The following is a 17930-nucleotide window of genomic DNA, read 5'->3' on the forward strand; positions in this document are numbered from 1 at the left end:
CTTCTATGAAGACCTTAAACTCCTCTTTCTCAGTAGCAACAGGTACACTGGCATGTGGGACACTATATTTTAACTAAGCACAGTGAAGAAATACAGGGTTACCAGCATTATTACTCTGTGTTTTTTGTAAGCGAATGGGGGGTAGATGTTGGCAATCCAGTAAGTTTTAATCAGATACTACTACAAAGTAAGACCGTTAAAAACTCGCTGGTCAGGTGTGGTAGCTCACGCCTGTAATTCCGGCACTTTGGGAGGCCAAGGCAGGCTGATGGCTCGAGACCAGGAGTTTCAGACCAGCCTGCACAATGTGGCAAAACCTCACCTCTACAAAAAATACAAAAATTAGCCAGGTGTGGTGGCACGCACCTGGGTAGTCCCAGCTATTTTTGGGGGGCTGAGGCAGAAGAATTGCTTGAGCCCAGGAGGTTCAGTCTACAGTGAGCTGTGTTCAAGTCACCGCACTCCAGCCTGGGTGACAAAGTGAGGCCCTGTCTTAAAAAAAAAAAAGAAAAATTGCCAATGCTATGTGTTAAAATCTTTAATTGTGGCCAGGCTCAATAGCTCATGCCTGTAATCCCAGCACTTTGGGAAGCCAAGGTGGGAGGATCGCTTGAGCCCAGGAGTTCAAGGCCAGCCTTGAACACCGTGAGACTCTGTCTTTAGAAAATAAAAAATAAAATTAGCAGGGTGTGGTAGCATGTGCCTGTAGCTAATTGAGAAGGTGAGTTTGGAGGATCACATGAGTCCAGGAGTTTGAGGTTACAGTGAGCTATAATGGTGCCACTGTACTCCAGCATGGGAGAGAGAGTGAGACCCTGGCTCAGAAAAAAACAAACAAACAAACAATAAAAAAACTTTAATTTGAAGCATATGTCTCATAGCAAGCACCATGTTCTCAAATTCTTAATATAAATGATTCTGACCTCCCTTAAATGGCACCACCACCCACATCAAAAAGTATTAAAAATCATCATCCTTGGGTTAGAAAAAATCATAACTGACACCATTCCCAAATTTAGCAAACACTGTTTTGACATGATAATTACTAAGAGACATGATATTTGATGAACACACTGAGAGTATTTGGATGGAATAATGAACAAGCCTAACTTGAGTGGGTTAAAGAATGTGAGGTGAAGAAATGGAGACAAGTAGACAGAGGCTATGAATAAGCAATATTTTATGAAGTTCATCTGTGAATAGGGACAGAGAAATGGGGTAGATAATATAATAGGAGGTAAGCTGAAATAAAGTTTTTAGAGAATAGAATATGGTTGTTTATCATATTCCACTCATCAGGGAAAGAAAAAAAGATCAGTGATGGAAGAGAGAAGGAATAATTGCAGGACCAGAGTCCTTAAGGTAGCTAGAGAAGACAGAATCCAGGCCTAAGTAGAACAGATGGCTTTTCATACAACCTGAGATATTTCACCCACTAAACACCAGAAAAGGCAAGAGAGTGCTGTAGAATGGTAGATTTGAATCTGAAAATATGAAAGTTTCCAAATATTTTCTTTTTTCTCTGAGATGGAGTCTTGGCTTTGTTGCCAGGCTGGAGTGCAGTGATGCAATCTCGGCTCACTGCAACCTCCGCCTCCCAAGTTCAAGCGATTCTCCTGCCTTAGCCTCCTGAGTAACTGGGACTACAGGCGTGCACCACCACACCCAGCTAATTTTTGGTATTTTTAGTAGAGACGGGGTTTCATCATGTTGGCCAGGATGGTCTCAATCTCTTGACCTCATGATCCACTCCGCTCCGCCTCCCAAAGTGCTGAGATTACAGGCGTGAGACACTGCGCCGGCAACTATTTTAAGTTTAATTCATACTAAATATGGCACATGACAATTTTCTAAAATAATTTCTTGTAACCTAAATAGTATGTTTGTTTCTTTCAGAATATAACAAAATCAGGATTAAAAGGGACCTCCTTCTATGACTAAAGTCCAGAATTGTTTTGAAATTCTATAGAATTTATCATTCTATTTTTCTGAAGTCTGAACACATGGTTAGAGCCTTCTAACCTGACAGGAGACAGGAGAGAAATTCAGACCTCCTCTAGCAACTGATTGATTATAATGAATGCTGGACCTTGAGCTCGCATCCCTCAAGCTGTAATTTTTCCATTTCTAGCCATGAAACCCCCAAAGTCCCACACATTAATATTACGAAATATGACAACAGAAAGTAATGAGAATAGCTTTTTTAATGTAATAGCTTCTAAAGTATTAAACAAAAAAATAGGAAAGGGATACTTCTTATACACTTGTGAGCCCTAATGAAAATGTCATTTTAGAATCTCATTTTGTACTTCACTGTCCTTCCAATCAATACTATTCTATGTTCATTATGTACATGATAAAATACTAGATTCTCGGGAAGTTACAAATACAGAATATCTGACCACTGCCCATGAAGAGCTTACAATCTAAAGAGAAAGCATTAAAACAAATACATTTTAATAAGCAAAGCTTAAATGTTAAGACAGAGCAAAACAAGGGGTAGGGAATACACACATTCATTATTCAAACAAAGAATTCTGAAAACTCTTGACCATATGGATATGCATATACGTACATTATGCATACCCAGAGTTATAAAACATTCAGAAATACACTGCAAGAGAAAAAGCAAATGAATCCTGCAATTGCTGCTACAAATAGCAACAGATGCAAGTCTAACTGAGAGCCAGTCACAATTTAGGAGACAGGAAAGAAGGAGGTCAATAAGCAAGCTTTTAGTGGTAGGACAAAAATGAAGATGCACTTTAAGTTAAGCTGCTGGTTAGGAGAGGATTACCTGAACTTCTTCAAACTCACTCCAGTACACAGCAGAGGCACTCTTGGAGGCTGTATCTGGGAAGATAAGAAGCTACTTTCCTGTGTGTTCCTTTCATTTTCATTTTAAGCATACATGAATCCAGTGGTGATAAAACTGTATGTCATACTACTGTGTTAATGGAAAGATAATGTGTGTATTTTGCATAAATTAATATACAGATTCAATAACTGTACTTTTTCCTTCTATCACAAGGCTAAATAATACAAAACTCTCATTCTAAGTTTATTGATCTTGACTACTTAGACTAAAAAGTGCTTCCTCTGATCCTTTTCAGGCTAAATTTACTAGCAGCATCATTTTGTGTTATCAGTTTGATTTCACTGACTAGAGTGATTATACCTAGTTATATATTATCAGTAAAATAATTGTAAAAATACTTAAGATAAATAAAGCTGGATCAGTATACAGTTAAAATATGGCTTCCAGAGCAGGAAACATTCCAGAACAGGAAACAGAAAAGTTTCAAATAAATAATCCACTGAGATGATGGTCAATAAAATTAACAATCAAAACATACTGCACACTCAACAGGAAAAAATTTGACCAAAACATTTCAAAATATGGAAAGGCAGGGAATAGGGAAAGCCAAAGCAACTATCAGAATGAAAAACAGCAGAAAGAAAATTTTCCAGATCCACAAGGAAAGAAAATTATAAAACTTAAATTTATGTGTTTTGGTATACATATTTCATTTCACTATGTAGAAATTATTTTTCTTGAGGTCTCCTACCTCATTATTTGAATCTTGAATAACTTTATAGAGGGCTGGTACAAGTGTTTTTTTCCGGTGTAAAGTTGCTGCATAACTGGTGATCTGAGTGTCAGGTAATGCCTAAAAGAAACCACCAAAGGAAAACAAAAGTGAACATTTGAGAAGCAAGGAACTTTATTTTACACAAATAGTTCTTGAACAGATTTATAACAAACTCAAGTGAGAAAAGTAAAAATAATTAATATAAAGAAATAGGCTGGGCACAGTGGCTCACGTCTGGAATCCCAGCAGTTTGGGAGGTCAAGGCAAGCGTATCACTTGTGGTCAGGAGTTCAAGACCAGCCTGGCCAACATGGTGAAACCTGTCTCTACTAAAAATACCAAAAATTAGCCAGGCGTGGTGGCGGGTGCCTGTAATCCCAGCTACTCAGGAGGCTGAGGCAGAAGAATTGCTTGAACCTGGGAGGTGGAGGTTGCAGTGAGCCGAGATCGTGCCACTGCACTCCAGCCTGGGTGACAGAGCGAGACTCCATCTCAAAAAAAAAAAGAAAGAAAGAAGCATCAGAGTTCAAACAAATTAAGTTAGGATGTTATAGTACACAATTCTTCTAACTACTCAACCATAAATACTGATTAGAAATCACACATTATACCAACATTTCCTGAAATGGGCCATCTTAAATTAATCTAATCTTTAAAAAAATGTAGGATGTTTCAATTCTTGCATTTATGTTTTGCCAAAACATTTACAATTCCATAGTATTCATAAATTACATAGTTTTCCATAAAAACTATTTGATTTTTAATTATAGGACAGAAAAACGTAGGCATAAATCCTATTTTTGTGCCTTATTAAAGCTTGATGGATCTTCTCTTTTACTGAATATATTTTAAAATATCGTCTCATCAATCCTAACAACTATTTTCATCTTTATGTATCACCTTCTAGCCATTATTCATATTAGTACCATTTTTAAGAACTGCAATTACAGAAACACGTTATTTTGTATTTTGCCATTTCCACTTCCTACCATATTTTTATGTTTCTCCATAGAGCACATAATGTTTCTCCATAGAGCACATATTCAGTTTGAATTACTGATGTATAGAAAAATATAATACATTCTGATCTCCAATCCAATTTACCTTGAATTCTGATAACCATTCTTCCACAACACAACGGTCAGTTCCCAGCATTTTCTTTTACCTTCTACTCCTCTTTTATCTCTAAAAGAAAAAAGTATTGAAGCTGAGGACAGTAGTACTTATAGGAACAACTAGAAATAAATGATATGTGCCTTTCACCAAGGAAAATTAATCTACTATACATTTTAGATAAGGTGACTTGTCTTAGTTTGGAGCACAATTAAAAGAAAATTTTTCAGAAGTAAGTTCTGGCTGGGCGTGGTGGCTCACACCTGAATCTCAACACTTTGGGAAGCCGAGGTAGGAGAATCACTTGAGCTCGGAGTTCAAGACCAGCCTGGCAACACAGTGAGACCTTGTCTCTACTAAAAATCAAGAAAATTAGCTGGGCATGGTGGCGTGCACATCCAGTCCTAGTTACTTGGTACCCAAAGGTCAGAGCATAACTTGACCACCGGAGATAGAGGCTGCAGTGAGCTATGATCGTGCCACTGCATTCTGGCCTGGGCGACAGAGCCAGACCCTGTCTCAAAAATAAAATAAAAATAAGTTTTATGTTTAATGATACACTTGAAACCTATTATCCTAATGCTTTCATATTTTCTCCAGTAAATACTTCAAACTGGCAAAGACAAGTGTCCTGAGTAAAATCAAGTTGCACATTATCCAGACAAATGCAGTCTACAGTTTTACCAAATACATAACCAGAACAAACTACACATCATAAAATGAACCAAGAGAGTATAAATGACAAAGCTAGATAAACTAGAAACCAAAGGTTACATATTCAGCAAACTGAATATAAACATATATGCACCATACACAATAAGGCCTCTGAAGAAAACAGATCCATAAATTTTCTAAAATGGAAAAACAGCTGGGCACAGTGGCTCATGCCTGCAATCCCAGCACTTTGGGAGGCTGAGGCAGGACTGAGCCCAAGGGTTCCAGACCAGCCTGGGCAACATGGTGAGACCCAATATCTATAAAAAATAAAAAAAAAACTTAGCCAGGTGTAGTGGTGTGCACCTGTAATCTCAGCTACTCAGGAGGCTGAGGCAGGAAGATCCCTTGAGCCCAGGAGGTCAAGGCTGCACTGAGCCATGTTCACACCACTGCACTCTAGCCTAGGCAACAGAGTGAGACTCTGTCTCAAAAATAAATAAATAAATAAATGCACTAGGAAAATGCCCAAGTAGAAAAAGCAAGCTGTAGGATGTAAACTGTAATTCCATTTAAATGCTAAGGTCAACCCTGGAAGTTTATCAGCACCCAAGTAGGCAGCTGCCGAAAAGCTAAAAAGGGATTCCGTAAGAATTAATTGGTTCATTCCATAAATATTTCTTAAGCATCAACTATACGGCAACCATTTGCTAGGATCTGGAAATATAATAATAAACAAATCCAGATGTACACCCACTTTAATGAACCACTTATATAGTGGAGGAGACCAAACATATTTTTTCAAAGAGATGAAGGGAAAGAAAGAAAAAAGAAAGAAAGAAAAGAAAAGAAAAGAAGGAGAGAAAGAAAGACACAGAAGTACAAAACAAAGGAGCCAATATTGACTAAGGAATCAAAAGAGCTTCTCTGAGGTGCTGCTTAAGTTGAGATATCAAAGATCTATAGAATTAAGGGGAGTAGAAAGAGAACATTCTAGGAAGAGGGAACCACTTATATAAAAGGTCCTGTGGTAAGAAAAAGCACAGAAAGTTACAGAATCTAAACGAAGATCCAAGTGGTTTGGAGTACAGGGCACAATGGGCAAGAGTTGAGGGTGGACAGGAAGGCATGGTCTGATGGTATAGGAAGTTAGAAGGCCAGGCATGGTGGTTCACACCTGCAGTTCTAGCACTTTGGGAGGCTGAGGTAAGAGGATTGCTTGAGGCCAGGAGCTTGAGACATGCCTGGGAAACACAGCACGAGATTCCCATCTCTACAAAAAAATTTTCAAAAATTAGCTGGGTGCGCTAATATCATGATAGGATCAAGTTCACACATAACAATATTAACCTTAAATGTAAATGGGCTAAATGCTCCAATTAAAAGACACAGACTGGCAAATTGGATAAAGAGTCAAGGCCCATAAGTATGCTGTATTCAGGAGACCCATCTCACATGCAAAGACATGCATAGGCTCAAAATAAAGGGATGGAGGAAGAGCTACCAAGCAAATGGAAAACAAAAAAAGCAGGGGTTGCAAACCTAGTCTCTGATAAAACAGACTTTAAACCAACAAAGATCAAAAGAGACAAAGAAGGCCATTACATGATGGTAAAGGGATCAATGCAACAAGAAGAGCTAACTATCCTAAATATATATGCACCCAATACAGGAGCAGCCAGATTCATAAAGCAAGTCCTTAGAGGCCTACAAAGAGATTTAGACTCCCAAACAGTAATAATGGGAGACTTTAATACCCCACTGTCAATATTAGACAGATCAATGAGACAGAAGGTTAACAAGGATATCCAGGAATTGAACTCAGCTCTGCACCAAGCACACCTAATAGACATCTACAGAACTCTCCACCCCAAATCAACAGAATATACATGCTTCTCAGCACTACATCACACTTATTCCAAAATTGACCACATAGTTGGAAGTAAAGCTCTCCTCAGCAAATGTAAAAGAACAGAAATCACAACAAACTGTCTTTCAGACCACAGTGCAATCAAATTAGAACTCAGGATTAAGAAACTCACTCAAAACCACACAACTACATGGAAAGTGAATAACCTGCTCCTGAATGACTACTGGGTAAATAAGGAAATGAAGGCAGAAATAAAGATGTTCTTTGAAACCAATGAGAACAAAGACACAACATACTAGAATCTCTGGGACACATTTAAAGCAGTGTGTAGAGGGAAATTTATAGCACTAAATGCCCACAAGAGAAAGTAGGAAAGACCTAAAATTGACACCCTAACATCACAATTAAAAGAATTAGAGAAGCAAGAGCAAATACATTCAAAAGCTAGCAGAAGGCAAGAAATAACTAAGATCAGAGCAGAACTGAGGAGATAGAGACACAAAAAACCCTTCAAAAAATCCATGAATCCAGGAGCTGGTTTTTTGAAAGGATCAACAAAATTGATAGACTGCTAGCACGACCAATAAAGAAGAAAAGAGAGAAGAATCAAATAGATGCAATAAAAAATGATAAGGGGGATATCACCACTGATCCCACAGAAATACAAGCTACCATCAGAGAATACTATAAACAATTCTACGCAAATAAACTAGAAAATCTAGAAGAAATGGATAAATTCCTGGACACATACACCCTCCTGAGACTAAACCAGGAAGAAGTTGAATCTCTGAATAGACCAATAACAGGTTCTGAAACTGAGGTAATAATTAATAGCCTACCAACCAAAAAAAGCCCAGGACCAGACGGATTCACAGCTGAATTCTACCAGAGGTACAAAGAGGAGCTGGCACCATTCCTTCTAAAACTATTCCAATCAATAGAAAAAGAGGGAATCCTCCCTAACTCATTTTATGAGGCCAGCATCATCCTGATACCAAAGCCTGGCAGAGACACAACAAAAAAAGAGAATTTTAGACCAACATCCCTGATGAACATCGATGCAAAAATCCTCAATAAAATACTGGCAAACTGAATCCAGCAGCACATCAAAAAGCTTATCCACCAAGATCAAGTCAGCTTCATCCCTGGGATGCAAGGCTGGTTCAACATACGCAAATCAATAAACGTAACCCATCACATAAAGAGAACCAAAGACAAAAACCACATGATTATCTCAATAGATGCAGAAAAGGCCTCTGACAAAATTCAACAACCCTTCATGCTAAAAACTCTCAATAAACTAGGTATTGATGGAACATAACTCAAAATAATAACAGCTATTTATGACAACCTACAGCCAATATCATACTGAATGGACAAAAACTGGAAGCATTCCCTTTGAAAACTGGCACAAGATAGGGATGCCCTCTCTCACCACTCCTATTCAACATAGTGTTGGAAGTTCTGGCCAGGGCAATCAGGCAAGAGAAAGAAATAAAGCGTATTCAATTAGGAAAAGAAGAAGTCAAATTGTCCCTCTTTGCAGATGACATTATTGTATATCTAGAAAACCCCATCATCTCAGCCCAAAAATCTCCTTAAGCTGATAAGCAACTTCAGCAAAGTCTCAGGAGACAAAACCAATGTGCAAAAATCATAAGCATTCCTGTACACCAATAACAAACAAACAAAGAGCCAAATCATGAGTGAACTCCCATTCACAATTGCTTCAAAGAGAATAAAATACCTAGGAATCCAACTTACAAGACATGTGAAGGACTTCTTCAAGAACTACAAACCACTGCTCAATGAAATAAAAGAGGGCACAAAAAAATGGAAGAACATTCCATGTTCATGGACAGGAAGAGTCAATATTGTGAAAATGGCCATACTACCCAAGGTAATTTATAGATTCAATGCCATCCCCAACAAGCTACCAATGACTTTCTTCACAGAATTGGAAAAAAACTACTTTAAAGTTCATATGGAACCAAAAATGAGCCCATATTGCCAAGACAATCCTAAGCCAAAAGAACAAAGCTGGAGGCATCACACTACCTGACTTCAAACTATACTACAAGGCTACAGTAACCAAAACAGCATGGTACTGGTACCAAAACAGAGATATAGACCAATGGAACAGAACAGAGCCCTCAGAAATAACACCACACATCTACAACCATCTGATCTTTGACAAACCTGACAAAAACAAGAAACGGGGAAAGGATTCCCTATTTAATAAATGATGCTGGGAAATCTGGATAGCCAAATGTAGAAAGCTGAAACTGGATCCCTTCCTTACACCTTATACAAAAATTAATTCAAGATGGATTAAAGACTTAAATGTTAGACCTAAAACCATAAAAACCCTAGAAGAAAACCTAGGCAATACCATTCAGGACATAGGCATGGGCAAGGACTTCATGACTAAAACACCAGGCAACATAAGCCAAAATAGACAAATGGGATCTAATTAAACTAAAGAGCTTCTGCACAGCAAAAGAAACTACTGTCAGAGTGAACAGGCAACCTACAGAATGGGAGAAAATTTTTGCAATCTACCCATCTAACAAAGGGCTAATATCCAGAATCTACAAAGAACTTAAACAGATTTACAAGAAAAAATCAAACAACCCCATCAAAAAGCGGGCAAAGCATATGAACAGACACTTCTCAAAAGAAAACATTTATGCAGCCAACAGACACATGAAAAAATGCTCATCATCACTGGTTATCAGAGAAATGCAAATCAAAACCACAGTGAGATAACATCTTACACCAGTTAGAATGGCGACCATCAGAAAATCAGGAAACAACAGATGCTTTTACATTATTGGTGGGAGTGTAAACTAGTTCAACCATTGTGGAAGACAGTGCAGCGATTCCTCAAGGATCTAGAACTAGAAATACCATTTGACCCAGCGATTCTATTACTGGGTATATACCCAAAAGATTATAAATCATGCTACTATAAAGACACATGCACACGTATGTTTATTGCAGCACTATTCACAATAGCAAAGACTTGGAACCAACCCAAATGTCCATCAATGATAGACTAGATTAAGAAAATGTGGCACATATATACCATGGAATACTATGCAGCCATAAAAAAGGATGAGTTCATGTCTTTTGTAGGGACAAGGATGAAGCTGGAAACAATCATTCTGAGCAAACTATCACAAGGACAGAAAGCCAAACACCACATGTTCTCACTCATAGGTGGGAATTGAACAATGAGAACACTTGGACACAGGGTGGGGAACATCATTCACCAGGGCCTGTCATGAGGTGGGGGGATGGGGGAAGGATAGCCATTAGGAGAAATACCTAATGTAAATGACGAGTTAATGGGTGCAGCAAACCAACATGGCACATGTATACCTATGTAACAAACCTGCACGTTGTGCACATGTACCCTAGAACTTAAAGCATATAAAAAAAAATTAGCTGGATATAGTCATGCACACCGGTAGTCCCAGTTACTGAGGAGGCTGAGGTGGGAAGAACGCTTGATCTCAAGACTTCAAGGCTCCAGTGAGCTATGACCATGCCAGTGTACTCCAGCCTGAGCAACACAGTGAGACCCCGTCTCAAAAACAAAAACAAAAAGTCCGGAAATTTCATTGTAATGGTGACAAAAAGGACATACTTTCCAAAATAAACAAAATTGGAACTTTAAACAACTCCCTTATCTCTATTGCTGGATATTAAATTACTGACCTTTGATTTTTATTTACTGGAAAATTAAAAAGCCATACCTGCTCTGTATCTCAACTATTACCTCTATAGTTTTACAAAAATATCTATCTATAAATACAGTTAGTTGATAATAAATTTTGAAATAATTTTAAAATATCATAAATAGATGCCCGTAAAAAAAAAATGGAACTTAGCCCAACCACTCATTCCATCCACAAACACTGTCAACCATTCTTCCAGATCTGTATTTATATATATATTTATAACATGTATGTAGGTAAATATGTTATTTAAATGTAGTCATATGTTCACATCATATATAGTGTTCTACAGTGTGCTTTTTACATTTGTTAAAAACACATCAAAGATCTATAGATCTATCTCATTCCTTTTTTTTTTTTTTGAGTTGGAGTCTCACCCTATCGCCCAGACTGAAACACAGTGGCGAGATCTTGGCTCACTGCAACCTCCGCCTCCTGGGTTCAAGTGATTCTCCTGCCTCGGCCTCCCAAGTAGCTGGGATTCCAGGAGTGCACCACCACACCCAGCTAATTTTTGTATTTTTAGTAGAGACAGGATTTCACCACATTGGCCAGGCTGGTCTCAAACTCCTGACCTCAGGTGATCTGCCCACGTTGGCCTCCTAAAGTGCTGGGATTACAGGTGTGAGCCACTGCGCCCAGCTTATCTCATCCTTTTTAACAGCCATAAAACTGTAAGCACAAACCCTTATCTGTCCAATAACTTACTGATGGACACAGATTGTTTTCAATTTTCTTATATTACCACAACATTGTTGCAATCAACACCCTTATACATATTTGTGCATTTGTGTTGTTGTCTTCCACAGTATAAATTCTAAAAATTGTACTTGAAATTTTAAGGTTATAAGATATAAACATTATTGATAGCATATCCAAATCTACTCTCAAAACTATAATCTTTCAGATTTTTAAGAAGCATATGGCTGTTACATGTACAGAATAATTTCTTCCTGCTCTGTTTATAAAGCTACTACCATAGCATAGAAACCTAAATTAATCTAAATATAAAACCATCAATTTGCCTGCATTTATTAATATATAAGACTTTTAAAACTAGCACAATGAAAATTGGAATCAGAACACTCTGTAACAAAAAAGAAATCACAATATATATTACTGTATTTTAAAAATCGGCCGGGCACAGTGGCTCATGCCTATAACCCCAGCATTTTGGGAGGCCGAGTCAGGTGGATCACCTGAGGTTGGAAGTTCAAGACCAGCCTCATCAACATGGAGAAACCCCATCTCTAATACAAATACAAAATTAACCAGGTATGATGGCACATGCCTGTAATCCCAGCTACTCAGGATGCTGAGGCAGGAGAGTCACTTCAACCTGGGAAGCGGAGGTTGCGGTGAGCCGAGACAGCGCCATTGCACTCTAGCGTGGGCGACAAGCAAAACTCTGTCTCAAAAAACAAACAAACAAAAAATCACCTTGCTTGCTTAGTTAAGGCTTGACTCTTCTAAAATTAAAAACCACATTCATGGTTTACTCTTTAAACAATCTGGAGGTTATTTTAGAATATGATATTAGATTAAAATCTAACAATTTTTTCTTCCAATTGTTCTAATACATTGTTTGCATGCCTTTTCTTGTTTCTGTTTCTGCAGAGACTTGAAATACTACTAAAGTCTTACATATATTTGAAAATATTTCCCAGCTACTTTTCCCACTAGTTTTGCACAAGGACTGCAATCATTTATTTACTACCATTTTATTTTATTTTATTTTATTTTTTGAGACAGAGTCTCGCTCTGTTGCCCAGGCTGGAGTGTAGTGGCACAATCTCGATCACTGCAACCTCCACCTCCCGGATTCAAGCAATTCTCCCGCCTCAGCCTCCCGAGTATCTGGGATTACAGGCATGTGCCACCATGCCCGGCTAATTTTTTGTATTTTTGGTAGAGATGGGGTTTCACCATGTTGCCCAAGCTGGTCTCGAACTCCTGACTTCAAGTGATCAGTCTGCCTTGGCCTCCCACAGTCCTGGGATTACAGGTGTCAGCCACCACGCCCAGCCTATTTACTGTCATTTTATAATATACTTTAATATATAACAGTACAAGCTTTATCCTAATTCATTTTTTCTAAAAATATATTTCATCATTATTGCCTGCCTTATTCTTGAAGATGAATATTAGACTTTTGATAATAAATTCCTTCCCCACATCCTATCCTCAGGAGAATTTATAAATTAATTCCAAATTACATCTTCACAATACTGAGTTATCCCACAGAGAAGCACAGCACTGCTCTTTCTTAAAAATCTTCTTTCATATGTCTTAGTATAAATTTTGTATTTTCTTCATAGAGGTCAACACAATTTCCAATTAATTCCTACGTGGTTTTTATATTTTGATGCAATTACGATTGAGATTCGCTTCCATTATCTTTTCTAACTAGTTATTGTTACACAAAAATTAAGAACTTTTTTTTTAGAGACAGGTCTCTGTCACCTCAGCTGGACTGCAGTGGTGCAATCATAGCTCACTGTAGTCTCAAACTCCTTGGCTCAGTTGATCCTCCTGCCTCAGCCTCCTGAGTAGCTGAGATTATACACGTGTGCCACTACGCCTGGCTAATTTTTTATAATTTTGTTTTTTGTAGAGACAGGGTCTTACTATGTTGCCCAGGCTACAAAAACATTTTTTAAACATCAAAATTAAAAGTTTTTTAGATAATTATAATTATTCAAAACATTTTAAATGGTTTAAATCAAGAAGTCTATGTTTTAGGAGAAATGTATAAACAAGTCATCTTTTAGCTAACTACAAGGCATTTGTTTTTTTTTTAAATGTATATTACTACTTTACTGAAAAGGGCAAGAAAAAACTACAATTGGTCCATTTTTTTTCAAATGTTCTCTAAAGAACATAAACTGCCTTTAGAAATCAAAAAGCTATTTGTATGTGTGTGTATGTGTGTGTGTGTGTGTGTGTGTGTGTGTGTGTGTGTGAGAGAGAGAGAGAGAGAGAGATGAGATCTCTCTCTGTTTCCCAGGCTGGAATGCAGTGACACAATCAGGGCTCACTGCAGCCTCACAGCCTTGACTTTCCAGGCTCAAGCAATCTTCACACCTCAGCCCCCTAAGTAGCTGGTACTATAGGCATGTGCCACCATGCTTGGCTAATTTATTTTATTTTATTTTATTTTATTTTATTTTATTTTATTTTATTTTTTGAGACGGAGTCTCCCTCTATCGCCCAGACTGGAGTGCAGTGGCGCGATCTCGGCTCACTGCAAGCTCCGCCTCCCGGGTTCACGCCATTCTCCTGCCTCAGCCTCCCAAGTAGCTGGGACTACAGGCGCCCGCCACCACGCCCGGCTAATTTTTTTGTATTTTTAGTAGAGATGGGGTTTCACCATGTTAGCCGGTATGGTCTCGATCTCCTGACCTCGTGATCTGCCCGCCTCGGCCTCCCAAAGTGCTGGGATTACAGGTGTAAGCGACGGCACCCAGCCCAATTTTTTTTGTTGTATATAGAGAGCGGGTTTTCCTATGTTGCCCAGATTGGTCTCACTCCTGGGCTCAAGCACTCTTCCCATCTCGGCCTCTCAAAGTGCTGAAATTACAGGCATGAGCCACTGCACCCAGCCAAGCCAAATACTTTTTAAAAAGCAACACAAATCTTTTAATTTGATATATACTTTATCAGAATCCCTGTCTGATATAGGGTCCAGAATATTTATTTTGGAAAAGTCCCTCAAGTAATCCTGATGACCATCCTCTAGTTTAAAAAAAAAAAAAAAGTACCATCTCCAGGCTAAATTACTATTTTAAATTCCTATTTGATCTTTCCTATAACCACAAATTTAGCACATTAAATATCTATAGTTTCCACCCATACCACTTAAAAAAATGACTAAAAATGAAATACCTTTAAATAGAGAAATATAGTGGTATTAATTATAATCATAACACATATTTCCCAACTCTATAAAAATACTACTAGTTTTAAGACAGTAATTTATTAAGTACTTTAAAAGACAATATGAAATAATATTTTATGAAAAAGAAAACAAAAAGCTTAACTAAATCTGGGTGCTTCTGTTTTGGGTGCATATATATTTAGGATAGTTAGCTCTTCTTGTTGAATTGATCCCTTTACCATTATGTAATGGCCTTCTTTGTCTCTTCTGATCTTTGTTGGTTTAAAGTCTGTTTTATCAGAAACTAGGATTGCAACCCCTGCTTTTTTTTGTTTTCCATTTGCTGGGTAGATCTTCCTCCATCCCTTTATTTTGAGCCTATGTGTGTCTCTGCACATGAGATGGGTCTCCTGAATACAGCACACTGATGGGTCTTGACTCTTTATCCAATTTGCCAGTCTATGTCTTTTAATTGGAGGATTTAGCCCATTTACATTTAAGGTTAATATTGTTATGTGTGAATTTGATCCTGTCATTATGATGTTAGCTGGTTATTTTGCTCGTTAGTTGATGCAGTTTCTTCCTAGCCTCAATGGTCTTTACAATTTGGCATGTTTTTGCAGTGGCTGGTACCGGTTGTTCCTTTCCATGTTTACTGCTTCCTTCAGGAGCTCTTTTAGGGCAGGCCTGGTGGTGACAAAATCTCTCAGCATTCGCTTGTCTGTATTTTATTTCTCCTTCACTTATGAAGCTTAGTTTGGCTGGATATGAAATTCTGGGTTGAAAATTCTTTTCTTTAAGAATGTTGAATATTGGCCCCCACTCTCTTCTGGCTTGTAGAGTTTCTGCTGAGAGATCCGCTGTTAGTCTGATGGGCTTCCCTTTGTGGGCAACCCGACCTTTCTCTCTGGCTGTCCTTCACATTTTTTCCTTCATTTCAACTTTGGTGAATCTGACAATTATGTGTCTTGGAGTTGCTCCTCTTGAGGAGTATCTTTGTGGCGTTCTCTGTATTTCCTGAATTTGAATGTTGGCCTGCCTTGCTAGATTGGGGAAGTTCTCCTGGATAATCTCCTGCAGAGTGTTTTCCAACTTGGTTCCATTCTCCCCGTCACTTTCAGGTACACCAATCAGACGTAGATTTGGTCTTTTCATATAGTCCCATATTTCTTGGAGGCTTTGTTCGTTTCTTTTTATTCTTTTTTCTCTAAACTTCTCTTTTCGCTTCATTTCATTCATTTCATCTTCCATCACTGATACCCTTTCTTCCAGTTGATTGAATCGGCTACTGAGGCTTGTGCATTCGTCACGTCGTTCTCGTGCCGTGGTTTTCAGCTCCATCAGGTCCTTTAAGGACTTCTCTGCATTGGTTATTCTAGTTAGCCATTCATCTAATCTTTTTTCAAGGTTTTTAACTTCTTTGCCACGGGTTCGAACTTCCTCCTTTAGCTCGGAGTAGTCTGATCGTCTGAAGCCTTCTTCTCTCAACTCATCAAAGTCATTCTCCGTCCAGCTTTGTTCCATTGCTGGTGAGGAGCTGCGTTCCTTTGGAGGAGGAGAGGTGCTCTGATTTTTAGAATTTTCAGTTTTTCTGCTCTGTTTTTTCCCCATCTTTGTGGTTTTATCTACCTTTGGTCTTTGATGATGGTGACGTTCAGATGGGGTTTTGGTGTGGATGTCCTTTCTGTTAGTTAATTTTCCTTCTAATAGTCAGGACCCTCAGCTGCAGGTCTGTTGGAGTTTGCCGGAGGTCCACTCCAGACCCTGTTTGCCTGGATATCAGCAGTGGAGGCTGCAGAACAGCGGATATTGGTGAACAGCAAATGTTGCTGCCTGATCGTTCCTCTGGAAGTTTTGTCTCAGAGGAGTACCCGGCCGTGTGAGGTGTCAGTCTGTCCCTACTGGGGGGGTGCCTCCAAATAGATGCAATAAAAAATGATAAAGGGGATATCACCACCGATCCCACAGAAATACAAACTACCATCAGAGAATATTATAAACACCTCTACACAAACAAACTAGAAAATCTAGAAGAAATGGATAAATTCCTGGACACATATACCCTCCCAAGACTAAACCAGGAAGAAGCTGAATCTCTGAATTGACCAATAACAGGCTCTGAAATTGAGGCAATAATTAATAGCTTACCAATCAAAAAGAGTCCAGGACTAAATGGATTCACAGCCAAATTCTACCAGAGGTATAAGGAGGAGCTGGTACCATTCCTTCTAAAACTATTCCAATCAACAGAAAAAGAGGGAATCCTCCCTAACTCATTTTATGAGGCCAGCATCATCCTGATACCAAAGCCTGGCAGAGACACAACAAAAAAAGAAAATTTTAGACCAATATCCCTGATGTGAACATCAATGCAAAAATCCTCAATAAAATACTGGCAAACCGAATCCAGCAACACATCAAAAAGCTTATCCACCATGATCAAGTGGGCTTCATCCCTGGGATGCAAGGCTGGTTCAACAAACGCAAATCAATAAAAGTAATCCAGCATATAAACAGAACCAAAGACAAAAACCACATGATTATCTCAATAGATGCAGAAAAGGCCTTTGACAAAATTCAACAACCCTTCATGCTAAAAACTCTCAATAAATTAGATACTGATGGAACATATCTCAAAATAATAAGAGCTATCTATGACAAACCCACAGCCAATATCATACTGAATGGACAAAAACTGGAAGCATTCCCTTTGAAAACTGGCACAAGATAGGGATGCCCTCTCTCACCACTCCTATTCAACATAGTGTTGGAAGTTCTGGCCAGGGCAATCAGGCAAGAGAAAGAAATAAAGGGTATTCAACTAGGAAAAGAGGAAGTCAAATTGTCCCTGTTTGCAGATGACATGATTGTATATCTAGAAAACCCCATCGTCTCTGCCCAAAATCTCCTTAAGCTGATAAGCAACTTCAGCAAAGTCTCAGGATACAAAATCAATGTGCAAAAATCACAAGCATTCTTATACACCAATAACAGACAAACAGAGCCAAATCATGAGTGAACTCCCATTCACAATTGCTTCAAAGAGAATAAAATATCTAGGAATCCAACTTACAAGACAT

The 17930-nt window shown here is 38.4% G+C and overlaps 1 protein-coding gene across 20 annotated transcripts in view, besides 1 other annotated feature; it reads right to left on the reverse strand.

The window, feature by feature from the left end:
* The window catches only part of HYCC2 (hyccin PI4KA lipid kinase complex subunit 2), a 97954-nt gene that overhangs the window by 45544 nt on the left and 34480 nt on the right, over positions 1-17930 (reverse strand). For 17 of the 20 annotated variants that reach the window (NM_001321618.1, NM_001321624.1, NM_173822.5 and 14 more), the window contains 2 exons: positions 4698-4778; positions 3570-3671 (listed from right to left, as the gene is read on the reverse strand). In NM_001321618.1, the coding sequence (NP_001308547.1) occupies positions 3570-3671; positions 4698-4748 (153 nt within the window). In that variant the 5' untranslated portion in view covers positions 4749-4778. Of the gene's footprint in view, positions 1-2797; positions 2854-3569; positions 3672-4697; positions 4779-17930 lie in introns of all 20 variants that reach the window. The other 3 variants (NM_001321629.1, NM_001321627.1, NM_001321628.2) reach the window with 1 other exon arrangement.
* Positions 2797-2966: an enhancer, noted in NCBI's record as "active region_16970". NCBI's record gives its function as "activates an Ori minimal core promoter by ATAC-STARR-seq in GM12878 lymphoblastoid cells {active_cell/tissue: GM12878}" and the evidence as "EXISTENCE:reporter gene assay evidence [ECO:0000049][PMID:35858748]".

The sequence above is a fragment of the Homo sapiens genome, chromosome 2 (genome assembly GCF_000001405.40).
Source record: "Homo sapiens chromosome 2, GRCh38.p14 Primary Assembly".
NCBI classification, from domain to species: domain Eukaryota; kingdom Metazoa; phylum Chordata; class Mammalia; order Primates; family Hominidae; genus Homo; species Homo sapiens.